At 41.3% G+C, this 14,680-nt stretch overlaps 1 protein-coding gene across 32 annotated transcripts in view; it reads left to right on the top strand.

Annotated features, from left to right (window-relative positions):
• Positions 1-14,680, top strand: part of SH3KBP1 (SH3 domain containing kinase binding protein 1) — a 353,624-nt gene that overhangs the window by 223,173 nt on the left and 115,771 nt on the right. The gene's annotated exons all lie outside the window — the stretch shown is intronic.

Below are 14,680 nucleotides of genomic sequence, written 5' to 3'. Positions count from 1 at the left end.
AATAAAATTCATTCTATGGGGCCATAGAGCAGCAGTGTGTTTGTGTGTAGCCCAACCCTGACTTTTCCATATCAGTTGAAGACTGGCAGTTGATCATCTTGGCATGAAATTGAGTGGCTAGAAAGAAGTAAGGGTATCCTAGGGCATGATGATATAAGGCAGTGAAGATGGTTAAGAAATTAGAAATCAGGAGTGGTAGAGAAACAGTGGTCGTTGCAGTAGAGAGAGACAAGTAAACGGAGTCCATGAGGAGATATATTATGTAGGATTTGACAGTTGACTGTTCTGTGGTCTCTCTGGTGACTGAGAAAGAGGCGTCCCATTGATTGATTGATTGAGAGAGGGTCTTGCTTTGTTGCCCAGGTTAGAGGGCACTGACATGATCATGGCTCATTGCAGCCTCCTCGACCTCCCAGGCTTAAGCCATCTTCTGCCTCAGCCTCCTGTATAGCTGGGACTACAGGTGTGTGTGCACCACCATGCCCAGCTAATTTTTAAATTTTTTGTGGAGATGAGTTTTTGCCACATTGTTCAAGCTGGTCTTGAACTCCTGGCGTCAGGTGGTCCTCTTGCCTTGGCTTCCCAAAATGCTAGGATTACAGGCGTGAGCCACTGTGCCCAGCAGGGAGCCCCATTTAACTTGAAGCATAGTGATCAGATTGCAAATAATGGAGAAGTAGCCAATAATGAGAGTCGATAAACTCTTCGTTGTCCTATGGGGGGAGTATGTGGAAATCTTTTACTGAAAGTCCCTATAAATTTGGGTAGATAACCAACCGAAACCTATATGTCTGAAATAGATAAAATGTAATATCTCAGGAGTAGGGAATGTGTTGTCAGTTCCAACAGTACCATTCCTGGTCTTTATCTTCCTTTGTCACCATGTTCCGTGAATCTCTATTGTGTTTTCTCTGTGCGGAGCCTATAGCAGGTCTTTGTGGAAGGCACAAAGAAGGACTGCTGCTCTCCGGAACTTATAAGTGGAGAACATTGAAATGAACATTCTCCATTGTAATAGAAAAGGACAAGGAATTTCTCAAGACCAGAAAAATGTATCAATTGGGATATTTTACTGTGCACATTGTCTCCCCTACTCTTCCTGAAAAAACAAAATATCCCTCTTAAAAAATAACAACCACGAAAAGCACCATTTAAGAAGCACGTGATTAAAATAGGTGATTTCATGTTTTGTTTTTTTAAATGAGGGTTTTCTTTTGCATTTTGTGTGGCTTGGTGCCTTTGTGTGTGTTACAGAGAAAGCAGAAAATAATGGGGAAATATTTTAGTACAGGAAGATGAGAACATGCAAAATGAATAATGAAAGACTTACCATTTATTCAGATAATGAGGATTTAATTTGCCTAAAACTCAGGCATCTTAAAAGATAACTTACAACCTTAAGACTCCTGTTCCTCCCAAGACTTGCTGTTAAACTGAAGTTAAAATGAATGGAAGAATGAATGAATATGAATGACAGCCAAGTATAGACTTTATTGACCTTTTGCTTCACCAGACCAGAATTTACTCTACAAAAAGGTTCATCTTAACTACATTTACTGAATCTGTCCCCACCTCAAACTTGAATCCCATTAAAAAAAAAAAAAAAAAGTCAGTCCTGGTTTTTGAAGTCAGCAAAATCAAAGTATGTTCATGTTAAGTGGAGATGCTTGTCAAATAGCTGAGAAATGAAAGTATCTGTGAAATCTGTATAATTTTAAAATTATGATATACTGAAGTAAATAGTTCTAAGAGTAATAGAGAAAAAAAGTGGAACCTCAAAAGTTGGGGAGCCTGGTTTTTATCACACTTGTTTTTTCTCCCATTTGAGAAACTGTAATTACTTTGATTTGTGTTTCAAAAGAATTTTTACTCATGAAGAACTAGAGAACTGCTAGAAAACTGAACAATTAAGCTATGGATCCTCTGCAAATAGATCACAGCCTTTAAATCAATACTTCTTCAAATACTGGGAGATAAGGAATCTATAAGCATTATCCTTGAGCATATATGAAAAACGTTACAAAGTGAAGTTAACTCTTTTTTTCAGTCCCTTACAGATGTATGAATAAGGAATCCATGGGTTTAATTAGAAGAGCAGGAAATATGTTTTTGAGGTTGAAAACCTTTGATACAATGTCTCAATACTTTATTTGGAACAGCATGAATTGGAAATTACGTCATCTACTAGTCACTGAAGATATTAACTGTGAAAAACTATAAGTAGTAAAGGGTGATGATAAATGGCAGGGAATATTCTATATGGGTGGTGTCTTTCGAATTACCGTCATGACTCATTTTACATCTGATGTTCTTAACATCCTTACTAATAACTTGGAGAAGGAAATATAATGACACACAAGCGAAAGTTGCATATGATTTCTAGTTGGGAGATGTTGCAAACCAAATCAGACCTTATGGAAAGACATCAATAACGTGGAGGGGTAGAACATCATTTTTCGCTACCTCAGTGTATGCTATTTTCTTAGAACTTTATTTTTTCTGGCCAGGCGCAGTGGCTCACACCTGTAATCCCAGCACTTTGGGAGGCCAAGGCAGGTCGATCACCTGAGGTCAGGAGCTCAAGACCAGCCTGGCCAACATGGTGAAACCCTGTCTCTACTAAAAATACAAAAATTAGCTGGGCGTGGTGGCGCATGCCTGTAATCCCAGCTACTCAGGAGGCTGAGGCAGGAGAATTGTTTGAACCCGGGAGGCGGAGGTTGCAGTGAGCCGAGATTGCGCCACTGCACTCCAGCCTGGGCAACAGAGCGAAACTCCATCTCAAAAAAAAAAAAAAAAACAACCTTTATTTTTTCTGATTTTAAAAGTAATAACTAGTTTGTAGAAACATTAAAAGTAAAAAAAAAAAAAAAAAGTAAAAAGCTAAAAAGAACTGATAATTTAATCACCCTGGGGCAATCACTGTTAACTTTTTAAAATATTTACTTTCAGTCCTTTTGCCATACATTTTTAACTGGTTGAGATCATACCACACACATAATTTTTTCCACACACATAACTTTGTATCTTTTCCACTTCGCATTATATAGAATTTCCCATGTCATTACAAACTTTTTGTAAACATCTCTTTGAAAGGCTGTGTGTAATGCTCAGTTTTAAGGCTCTAGATACATAGAGGACCAGATCTGGGAGAACTGGAATTTGGTGGTTGTGTAGATTCCCATCAATATTATGTTTAAATCTACCATGTTATAGCTGAGAACGCAACATTTTCTTTACAATATAAACATAAAAATACCGTGGGAAAGCAGTTTGGGCTTGTGGGCTGCATTCTGCAAAGGCTTGTTGAATTAATGTACTCCCTATAGGATCTGAACAGGATTCCAGTTCTCCCTTCCTTACTAATCTTGAAAGAAGCCTTTAAGAGAAGCCTTTGGCAGGAGGCCTGGCCAATTCCAGGTAAAGGACTATGAATTCAACTTTTCATGTCTAAGATTCTGGCAGCTATTTCCACTAGTGGCTTTAGAAATCTGTACTACATGAGTTGATGGTCTCATCTGGCCCCTGTTTCTTAACTGCATCGGGAGGAGTATCTGGCCTGGCAATTTAGGATTTCTTCATCCCTTATTGAATGGATGCCAAGCTTTGTAAAAGATGGCTTGGGGTAATTTTCTATGGTGGTGTGTTTGCTCCTGAGTATCAAAAGTTTCAATAAAAGGCTTTCTGTTCTCTGACAACAGCCCATTTTTCCCAGACACATGCCTTGTTGTTTTTCCATCATTGACAGTAGATAAGTTTGGATGCAGCCAAAAGCGGTTGGCATGGACCCGCACTTGAGGGGCTCCTGGGATGGTCTTCCAGCCACTCACTGTAGGCACCACCTTAACTGATGCCTTCTTGACCTGAAAGCTCTTTGTTCCATTAGCTTTTTCCTCCTCAGCAATGACTTCTGTGGTGATGGCTGTTGCTTTCCTTCTCTTTCCATTTTTCAGTTATCGCTTTCCTCCCAGCATGTCTGTGCTGTGTAATTCTCTTGTAAAAGTTGCTTCTTGCTCATAAGTCCCCAAGCGGAGGAATGGAGCAGTTAACCTGCTGTTTCAAAAAGTTGTAATCGAAACCATCATTCTCTGTAACTAGAATTCATAAAGAAGCATTATGAAGATGGAGTTTTTAATTCAGTAAAATTCAATAACAGTAATAATAGCTAAGCACGTTACCTACCTAGAAAACCTATGAGATGTATATTGTTATGTCCATTTCAGAAGTGAAAACTGAGGCACAGAGAGGTTAAGTAGCTTCCACAAGATTGCATAACTGTAAGTCTTCTTAATACTAATTCAGTCTTACCACTAGGTGCTGAAAGTGGCACGGGTTTATTCATTCCATTCTTAGGTCCCTAGTGCCTAGATAACTCATTGCACTCAGGCCTTGCTCCATAAATCTAAATATTTTGTGATAGATGTTGAGTTTCCTGTTGACTGAAGTAAATTAAGAATATTTAGCATCTCCTGTGCAAGGCACATGGGTAGATACAAAGATTACCAGAACCCAGTCCTCCTCCTCCAGCATTTATAGTCCAGTTGATTCAACAGGCACATAGAGAAGCAGCCGTAAATATAAGACAGAGGACAGTGAATGCTGTTTTAGAGATTCAAAGTGAGTTCAGTAGGAACATGGGGGAGGTGAGAGAGAATTCCAACAGTTGACATCTAGGATATTTTCGTGAAAGGCATACAATATGGGTTTACCCCTCATTGTTGAATATGTCTTACTAAGTGGTAACTGGAGTGTCCTGAGTTTAATTTAATCTGTTTTGGGATCTCCATTCTTGAAGCACCTTTGAATCATCTTTCTAAATGTTTTGCTATACATCTAGAAGACGTATCAAATGTGGACCTTGGCTGGGTGCAGCGGCTCATGCCTGTAATCCCAGCACTTTGGGAGGCCGAGGTGGGAAGGTCTCTTGTTTAAGCCCAGGAGTTGGTGACCAGCCTGGGCAACATAGTGAGACCCTGTCTCTAGAAAAAAAAATTAAAAATTAGCTGGGCATGTGGCCGGGCACAGTGGCTCATGCTTGTAATCCTAGCACTTTGGGAGACCAAGGCGGGCGGATCACCTGAGGTCAGGAGTTCGAGACCAGCCTGACCAACACGGTGAAACCCTGTCTCTACTAAAAATACAGAAATTAGCCAGGCGTGGTGGCGGGCACCTGTATTCCCAGCTACTCAGGAGGCTGTGACAGGAGAATCACCTGAACCCGAGAGGCAGAGGTTGCAGTGAGCTGAGATTGTGCCATTGCACTCCAGCCTGGGCGATGAGAGTGAAACTCCGTCTCAAAAAAAAAAAAAAAAAAAAAATTAGCTGGGCATGATGGTGTGTATCTGTAGTCTCAGCTACTTGAGAGGCTCGCTTGAGCCCAGGAGGTCAAGGCTGCGGTGAGCTATGATGGCACCACCGCACTCCAGCCTGGGTGACAGAGCAAGATCCTGTCTCCTAAAAAAAAAAAGTGTACCTTACCTCTGGCTGTATTTAGGAAGCTCCTTTTTTGAATAAGTATGTGGCTTGAACTCATTATTTCTAATAAAAACAAAATATAAAAATGATATCATTGGCCGGGTGTGGTGGCTCACGCCTGTAATCCCAGCGCTTTAGGAGGCCGAGGCAGGTGGATCACGAGGTCAGGAGTTCGAGAGCAGCCTGACCATTATGGTGAAACCCCATCTCTACTAAAAATACAAAAATTAGCCGGGCGTGGTGGTGGATGCCTGCAGCTACTCGGGAGGCTGAGGTACGGGAATCACTTGAACCCAGGAGGCAGAGGTTGCAGTGAGCTGAGATCGCGCCACTGCACTCCATCCCGGGTGACAATGCAAGACACCATCTCAAAAAAGAAAGAAAGAAAGAAAGATATCATTGAGCCTTTTTAAGTAACCTGATGTAATGTTCTCTGCCTTTTTTCTATAAAATAGAGGAGCCCAGAAAATGGGGAAAAAAAGGAATAAATGTTATTCTTTGGGAATCTGTGGAGCAGATGATGAAAGTAAAGAATGAGTCCTAAGATACTAAAGTCAGAGCTATTTAGTGTTAGCGAGATTTAGAGGTAGTCTTTATGGAAGCAGTAGGTTATCTTTCAGAGCCGTAGAAGGAGTGTTTCAGATAAGACCGAGGTGAATGAACACAGCAGGCATCCCTGAGATGGAAAGCTTCTGGAAAAAGATGGGTTTGTTCTCTGACTCACCTCATTAGATACTGACTACACCCCTGATTATTTTGTGGTCGAATCTTAAGTATCAGGATATCACAGCCTCATGAGCAACTTTTTTTTCCACCCATTCTAATCGACATTCCTGGCCAGAGAGAGGCTTACAGGAAAAGAAGAATATGTGGTAAAATATACATAACATAAGCAGCTTAGCCGTTTTTAAGTGTGTAGTTCAGTGGCTTTAAGGACATTCACACTGCTGTGCAACCATCACCACCATCCATCTCCAGAACTTTTTTTATCTTGCAAAATTGAAACTCTATACCCATTGAGCTACCCGCCCCCACCCCCAGCCCCTGGCAACCACCAGTCTACTTTCTGCCTCTAATTTTGACTACTCTAGGTACCTTATATAAAAGTGAAATCATACAGTATTTGTCTTTTTTGTAAGTGGCTTATTTTTACTTTAATGTCTTCTAGGTTCATGTTGCAGCATGTGTCAGAATTTCTATTATTATTATTATTATTATTATTATTTTAGATGGAGTCTCGCTCTGTTGCCAGGCTGGAGTGCAGTGGTGTGATGTCGACTCACTGCAACCTCCGCCTCCCGGGTTCAAGCGATTCTCCTGCCTCAGCCTCCCGCGTAGATGGGATTACAGGTGCATGCCACCATGCCCAGCTAAATTTTGTATTTTTTGTAGAGACAGGGTTTCACCATGTTGGCCAGGTTGGTCTTGATCTCTTGACCTCATGATCCACCCACCTCGGCCTCCCAAAGTGCTGGGATTACAGGCGTGAGCCACCATGCCCGGCCAATTTCCTTCCTTTTTAAGGCTGAATAATATTCGATTGTATGCCCTAAGTCTTTTTTTTTTTTTTTTCGAGGCAGGATCTTGCTCTGTCACCCAGGCTGGAGTGCAGTGGCACGATCGGGGCTCACTGCAACCTCAACTTCCTGGCTCAAGCGATCTTCCCGCCTCAGCCCTCCAAGTAGCTGGGACTACAGGTGTGCACCACCACATCCAGCTAAATTTTTTGGAATTTTTTAGTAGAGATAAGGTCTTACTGTGTTGCCCAGGCTGGCCTCCAACTCCTGAGCTTAAGCAATCCTCCTGCCTCAGCCTCCCAAAGTGTTGGGATTACAGGCATAATAAGCCTTTTAAGTAGCAGTTTTTTGGTTGAAAACAAAACAACAAAACACTGTTGCAGGCATTTACCTCTTTTCTGATTGAAACTATTTTGTTTCCCTTCTCTACTCTGAAAGACAGAAAAGCTCTGGAAATTTCTGCTGGGGAAAGAAATTTCCCATTTTTGTCTTCAGCTCAAGACATTTTTGGAGACATTTGACTAAACTGTTTACTTTAAATTTGTCAGATTAGAAAGATGCTTTTTCATATGTGTCAGGAGTTTCTCACATGTCTATGTTTTTTAAAATGTTTTAGTTTTCAAATGGTAGATTGATTGGTGTTTTAACAGGAAGCTAACTGTTCAAAATGATTACAGGCCCATTATTTTTCCACTAAACGTTTCGACACTAGCATCAGAGCACTGAGAGACACCTGCACTGTGATGCTTCCCATTAGGGTATATTCTCCACGATGCCTCCTTGAGCCACCATATCTGTCTCTCTGACTCTCTAACTCTCTAAATCGGAGTCTGAACTTAGTATTGTTGTTTGCACTTGATTGACACCCAGTAACTATGTGGCATGCATATATGTGGACTTAAGGGCATAATAGAATTGGAAATTTTTCCATCATAGTCAAACCAATTCACCAAAACTGATTTATCCCTGTAGTGACTGTAAACTATGAACTGCCTTTAGATAGGCAGCCTAAGTATCTCTCAAACCTTAATTTCATCTTTAATTTTACTGCCTTAGGTGGATTATTGTGTCAACCTCCCCATTGTCTTCTTGGCTTTTGCATGTCCTTGCTTTTCTTCTTCATTCCTCCCAATACCACCAGATCATCTGTCTTAAATTCACAAATTTGATTGGGCCATGCCTCTACTTATTTTTCATCACTACTGGTTGCTTTTAAGACAAAGCAAAAGCAAAAACTGTAACATTGGCCCTAACTTACCTTGCTGGCCTTTTGAGCCCAAGCAGCTCTCCAGTCACCTCCCTTCAACTCCCACTGCGAATCCCTGCCACCCTCGATCCTGTGCTGGGAAGTCCCCATTCCCTGCACACATACCTGCCTTGCCTCCTGCTTTTCTTCAGCTAGAATACCCTTCCCACCAGTCTCTACTTGGCAAAATTTTACCCATCCTTTAGAATTTAATGCAAGTTGCATCATTGCTGTGAGGCATATTTTCCCATGAACGTTTGTTAATAGCTCTTTGTTTTCTTGTTCTATAGGTGCCTTTATCGTAGTGCTTATCCCTTTGTATTGTGATGCTCTGTTAATGATTTTGTCTCTGCTGCTATATTCTCTTTTTAATTTTAGGGTCGGGGGTACATGTGCAGGTTTGTTACATGGGTATATTGCATAATACTGGAGTTTGGGCTTCTATCGAACCCATCGCCCAAATAGTGAACATAGTACCCAATAGATAGTTTTTCAATCCTTGCCCCCCTCCCTTCCTCCCCACTTTTGGAGTCCCAAGTGTCTATTGTTTCCATTTTTATGTCCATCTGCACCCACTGTTTAGCTCCCTCTAATAAATAAGAATATGTAGTACTTGGTTTTCTGTTTCCATGTTAATTTGCTTAGGATCATGGCCTCCAGCTGCATCCATGTTGCTGCAAAGGACATGATTTCATTCTTTTTTATGGCTGTGTAGTATTTCACGATCTATATGCACCTCCTTTCTTTATCCAATCCACTGTTGATAAGCACTTGGGTTGATTCCATGACTTTGCTATTGTGAATAGTGCTTCTGCTGCCAAATTTTGAACCCTTTAAAGATCTAGGACTCTGCCCATCTCACCTTTGTAGATACAGCATCTGGCTTAGATTGAGGCTCATGGTAGTTCTAGAAAAGAATGCTGAATGAATGAATGAATGAATGAATGAATGAGGAATGAATGAATTAAGGTAATTGAATCCAACCTTCATTTTAGAGGTATAAAGAAAAACTGAAGAAAATATGGCTTTGACCTCAGGTATCTCTTACACATAGAAATGTCATGAGCAAGTGTGGGATACATGTCAGTCTGTGTGTCCCACACATTCCTGAAAGCTGCTACTTTTAGCCAACTGGACCTTAGTTGACTCTTAAAGGTGAGATGGGATTCAAATATATTGGGGGAGGAGGTGCCATCTCCAGGTAAAGGCCTGGATTATGTCATGATTGAATACGTAAAATATTTTGGATCTGAAAAGATCTTTGTATGCTAGTTGAATTCATACAGCTACTTCATGGGAAAATTAAGATTTAGTCCACATGTGTACAGCATGTTTCATGATAAAGCACTGGACAAATAAAACCCCAACTGGCCCCGTGATACTCATTCCAGCCATATCATCTTTCTCTCTCCCTTACCCACCATCTTAAACTTTCAAAATATATCTAAAAGGAAGGCATTGTTAATCAAAAGATAAAAAACTAATCCTCTAGTAGGAGGAATGTTTATGATTTCCTTTTATCTGTCATAACAACAGAAAATAGCATTTTAAACATTTTAAAGCATGATGGCAAATTATGTTTTGCCAATGTGGTATATGAAATGGAAATTTACTCTGGCTCGTTCATCCTCTGTGAATAAGATGATCCTACAACAAAATAGCATGCAGGCTCCTCTCTCGGGAACAGTGGGGGTAAAATATAAACAGTGTTTTCATATACTGTCAGACGTTTAGAGGGCTGCCTTCCATGATTTTAATATTGTCTGACTGTACCTTCTCCACTTCATTTAGCACATGAGTAGGTTTTGATCCCATCTTCGACACTGCATTTCCCCATCATGAGAAGGCCCTACTAAATCTTAGAAAGTCATTTTGCTTCAACGAAGAGACAGTCTCACCCCTCCTGTTACTGTCATATGCTTCTTTCCAGTTTTTTAGAACATGGTCTCTAGAGGTGTTCAAAAAGCAAGCAAATGAAGCAAATGATCAGATTTTGGCAGAAGTTAAACTACATGATAAATGATAGAATTTGGCTCAAATTCTACTGGTATACACACAGACACACATGTCCCTCTGTGTGTGTATGTCTAATATACAAATATAAAACAGACTTCATCTCTATATGTTCAGTAGAATGATAGATACTAAAGTTTTTATTGGACAGATTGAAAGAGTAAACCCTAAAAGACAAATAAATATTGAAGAATCTAAGATGGGACCAGGTGTTTTGTATTCAGAGAAAGTTTCCCATTAGTCTTGAGAGTTGAAGAGAAAGATAGCTGTTAGGAGACATGGCAAGTTGCAGCAGCAATCAGAAGTAAACCCTGGAGTTTCTTCTGAACTTTGGGAATTTATATGAACAGCTGTTAAGAAGCTGTGTGTGTGTGTGTGTGTGTGTGTGTGTGTGTGTGTGTGTGTGTGTGTGTATTTAGACATATATATATGTGTATGTATATATATGTGTGTGTATATATATATTCAGACGTAGTCTTACTCTGTCACCCAGGCTGGAGTGCAGTGGTGTGATCTTGGCTCACTGCAACCTCCGCCTCCCGGGTTGAAGTGATTCTCCTGCCTCAGCCTCCTGAGTAGCTCGGATTACAGGTGCACAACACCACGCCCAGCTAATTTTTGTATTTTTAGTAGAGACGGGGTTTCACCATGTTGGTCAGGCCAGTCTCGACCTCCTGACCTCATGATCCGCCTGCCTCGGCCTCCCAAAGTGCTGGGATTACAGGCGTAAGCCACCGTGCCTGGCCAAGAAGCATTATATATTCTGAGTGCATTGGTGTAGGGGTGTGTAAGAGATGATGGCAGAAGATGATTAAAAATTGAGTCTTGTGGGAGATCAAATGAAGAAGATGGAATCTGGGGATAGGATCTTTGTCTATAAAATTATTGAAAAGGCTGGTGTGATGGCTCATGCCTGTAATCCCGGCACTTTGGGAGGCCAAGGCAGGAGGATCGCTTGAGCCCAGGAATTTGAGACCAGCCTGGGCAACATAGTGACTTTGTCTCTACTGAAAAATAAAATTAGCCAGGCAGGGTGGTACACACCTGTGGTCCCAGCCACTTGGGAGGCTGAGGTGGGAGGATCGCTTGAGTCCAAGAGTCCAAGGCTACTATAGTGAGCAGTGATTGTGCCACTGCACTCCAGCCTGAATCAGAGCAAGACCCTGTCTCAAAAACAAACAAAAAAAAACCAACAACAACAAAAAGAAAATTATTGAAGTAGTCCCCATGATGGTAACAAGGCTCTAGACTGGCATCAAAGAGGAAGGAGATAAATCTGAAAGCACAGCCTTGGTGATGGGTTGGATATGAGAAGGTGCAATAAGAGGTGAATTTCAAGTCATGAGCCTAGGTGACAGGATAGGCAAGAGAATTTTAGGAAGAGGAGGTGATGATGTTCACTCAACTATTCCATAGACTACTCATTCTTGTGATGTGTTCATGGGTGTCACAAGAAGTAGGAATTCTGTAGTCAGGTAAGTTTGGAATATACTGAGATAAAGTTAAGGATAAAGTTAAACAGTAACTGAAGGACTTTTCATAGCCTTTAATATGCTGTGATGAATTGATTAGACCGAGTATTCAGTCTTTGCCAAATTTATCAGATTATGGGGTTAAGTGTTTTGGAGATTGTGTCAGGGAGGGAGGGTACACTTTGGAAAATGATTTCAGAACAAGAGAATGGGGCGTGTGTGTGTGTACGCATACGTGGGTGATAATCACCCATCAAAGTGAGAGTCTTTTGATCATAATAGATATGGAACTTGAGAGAATGTGAGAGAGCAGGCTAATATGAGGAGTATTTGGAAGTCAGGCAGAGAGATGTTCACTGGAAACATAGCTGAGATTAGATTCTTCTCTATAGCAACCAATAATTAATAGGAGGATAGGTGATGTGTGTTGGGGGTTGAGGTGGGGTGGACAAGAGGAAGCAAGGCAAGGGCAACCGAGGCCCCGGAAGACATCCCAGACAAATGTGCTGTCACCAGTAACCAGGTTGGAAAGAGCTGGTACATGGCAGTGATTGAAACAGTAGGGCTCTAATCTAAGAGGCGTAGAGGCTCTCTGGTTTGTCAAGGAGGACGTCTCCTCTCTTTCTGCCTGTTGTGGTAGGTGCTAATGCTAGGGCAAAGGGTGAGTGAATGGTATCCCACTACTCCCTGCTCCACTCAACAGACACTTCACCGACCTCTCATTTTGTAAGGATAAGAGAATAATGAGCATTTAGGTCCTACTCTCGAGGTGGGCACTATTTCTGAAGGAAAAGGGCAAGAAAGGTAGTTAAACTGCTAACTGTGACATATTTGATGGATTGATTGATTGACTGACTGACTGACTGACTGACTGTAGAGATGAGGTCTTGCTATGTTGCCCACGCTGGTCTTGAACTTCCTGGCTCAAGTGATCCTCTCACCTCAGTTTCCCAAAGTGTTGGGATTACAGGTGTGAGCCAATGCCCCCAGCAAGTGTGATATACTTGACAACTGCTTCTACAGCAGCTGTGAATCTGACAAGGTCTTTAACTGTGGGCAAAGAGGTTTAATATATTTGAATTCTCTAACTTTTTGAGGCAACCAAGGAAATAAACATCATATGAATAGCTCTAAGTCTTAAGCCCAATTTCGTAATCAGAAAATTACTTTTTAAATTTTATTTTTCCTTATAACCAAGTTTAAAAATAGACTGGGAAGCACACCCCTTTGGAGAAGTTGGAATTGGCCTAACAGTATGTGAGGTGTTACAAAGGTAAACCCTGGTCCTGGAATGGAATTACAAGTGTAGTTTTTTTTCTTTTACCGGACCATACGCTTTATTTTTAGAATTTTGCGTTGTATTTTACTCTGGTGTATCTTCTATTGATATCAAATAGTTTAAGCTGGGCCCACCAAATGTAGATGAGATGACAGTTTCTAATGTAAATTTCTAAGGGAGCAGAAAAGCTTCCGGGGAAGCACACAAGGCACCCCATTGTAAGGACACTCCTTTGTGCTAGTTCTTTTCTGGCTTTGACTTGAGCTGGCTCACAGGGCTTCTGCTCTGTGCCTACCACTCCTCACCGAGAGCCAAGAAGACTTTTCATAATGCCATCTGTCATAGGTGTTCATGAAGGGGACATGTAAAAATAAATATAAAAAGTTTACAGTGAGTTTTAATAGCAGTTTAGGGATCTTTCTGAATTATGGTAAACAAAAACTGAAAAGTTACAGATATGGTCATATATAGATAACTGTTTTGACCCTCCTCCTGTCACTGTGTCCTGTAGCTCTCTGTATCCCATATATGAGCAGGATTCAGGATAACTGTGTGGAATGGTTGGGCACCCCTCAGCACACCATTCTGGAGAACCAACCCCACAACTGCAGTTTCAGTGTTTGCTTTGATGTTCACCATCCTCCTGCCTTTTTTCCCCACTTTCCTGCCTCACACTGAATGGGCACTTGATAAATCTGTACTGAACAGAAAGGGAAGGAATCCTCTCAGATACCAGTGTTGTAAAAGGAATGCCATCAAAGAGTCATCTTTATCTTGTGTCTTAGCAGCTGTTTGAAAAGTGATCTCTTGTGTTTGACTTTGTGTGAGTGATATGGTCTGGCTCTGTGTCCCCACCCAAATCTCATCTTGAATTGTAATCCCCATGTGTTGGGGGAGGGACCTTGTGGGAGGTGATTAGATTATGGGGGCGGTCCCCCCATGCTGTTCTCGTGATAGTGAGTGAGTTCTCATGAGATCTGATGGTTTTATTAGGGGCTTTTCCCCACGTCACTCTTTCTTCTCCTTCCTGTGGCCATGTGAAGAAGGACATATTTGCTTCCCTTTCTGCCATGATTGTAAGTTTGCTGAGGCCTCCCCAGCCATGCTGAACTGTGAGTCAATTAAACCTCTTTCCTTTATTAATTACCCAGTCTCAGGCATAACTTTACTAGCAGCGTGAGAAAGGACTAATAAGGTGAGTGTTTGAGTACTATCTATGGATAGCTTCTCAGACCACCATCTTCTTCTTATAATAGCTGCCAGAAAGCCAGGCCTCTGGACAGGGGAGCTTTATCAGCTGCTAGAATGCAAGGAGCTCTCTCTCTCTCTGCTCCCACTACCCATTGAACCTGGCTGCCTTTGTGATATGAGAGTTGTATGTGGTATTCTTGGAGAGGAGATTTTCAGAGATTTTCTTCTCCTTAGCATTGTCCTATAATTGGAAGCTTGGAGTTTGCATGTGAATTGGAATAAAGTAGGAGAAGGAATTTTATACTCTTGATTTGAGCAGGATCTTGGTCTCACGTTCTGCAGTCACAAAGAAACAAATACATTAGTCATTTGGGAACTAGATTCCCCTGGACTCCAATCCAGCGATTGCCTTTCCCGTAAGCATTAGTTTCTTCATTTTGGCAGAGAAAACAAATTAGTTGCTCCACTAACTGAAATCATATGGTGG

This window comes from Homo sapiens, chromosome X (genome assembly GCF_000001405.40).
Source record: "Homo sapiens chromosome X, GRCh38.p14 Primary Assembly".
Taxonomy (NCBI): domain Eukaryota; kingdom Metazoa; phylum Chordata; class Mammalia; order Primates; family Hominidae; genus Homo; species Homo sapiens.
The sequence above is the reverse complement of the archived record's forward strand: the minus strand, read 5'-3'. Positions and strand labels throughout refer to the sequence as shown.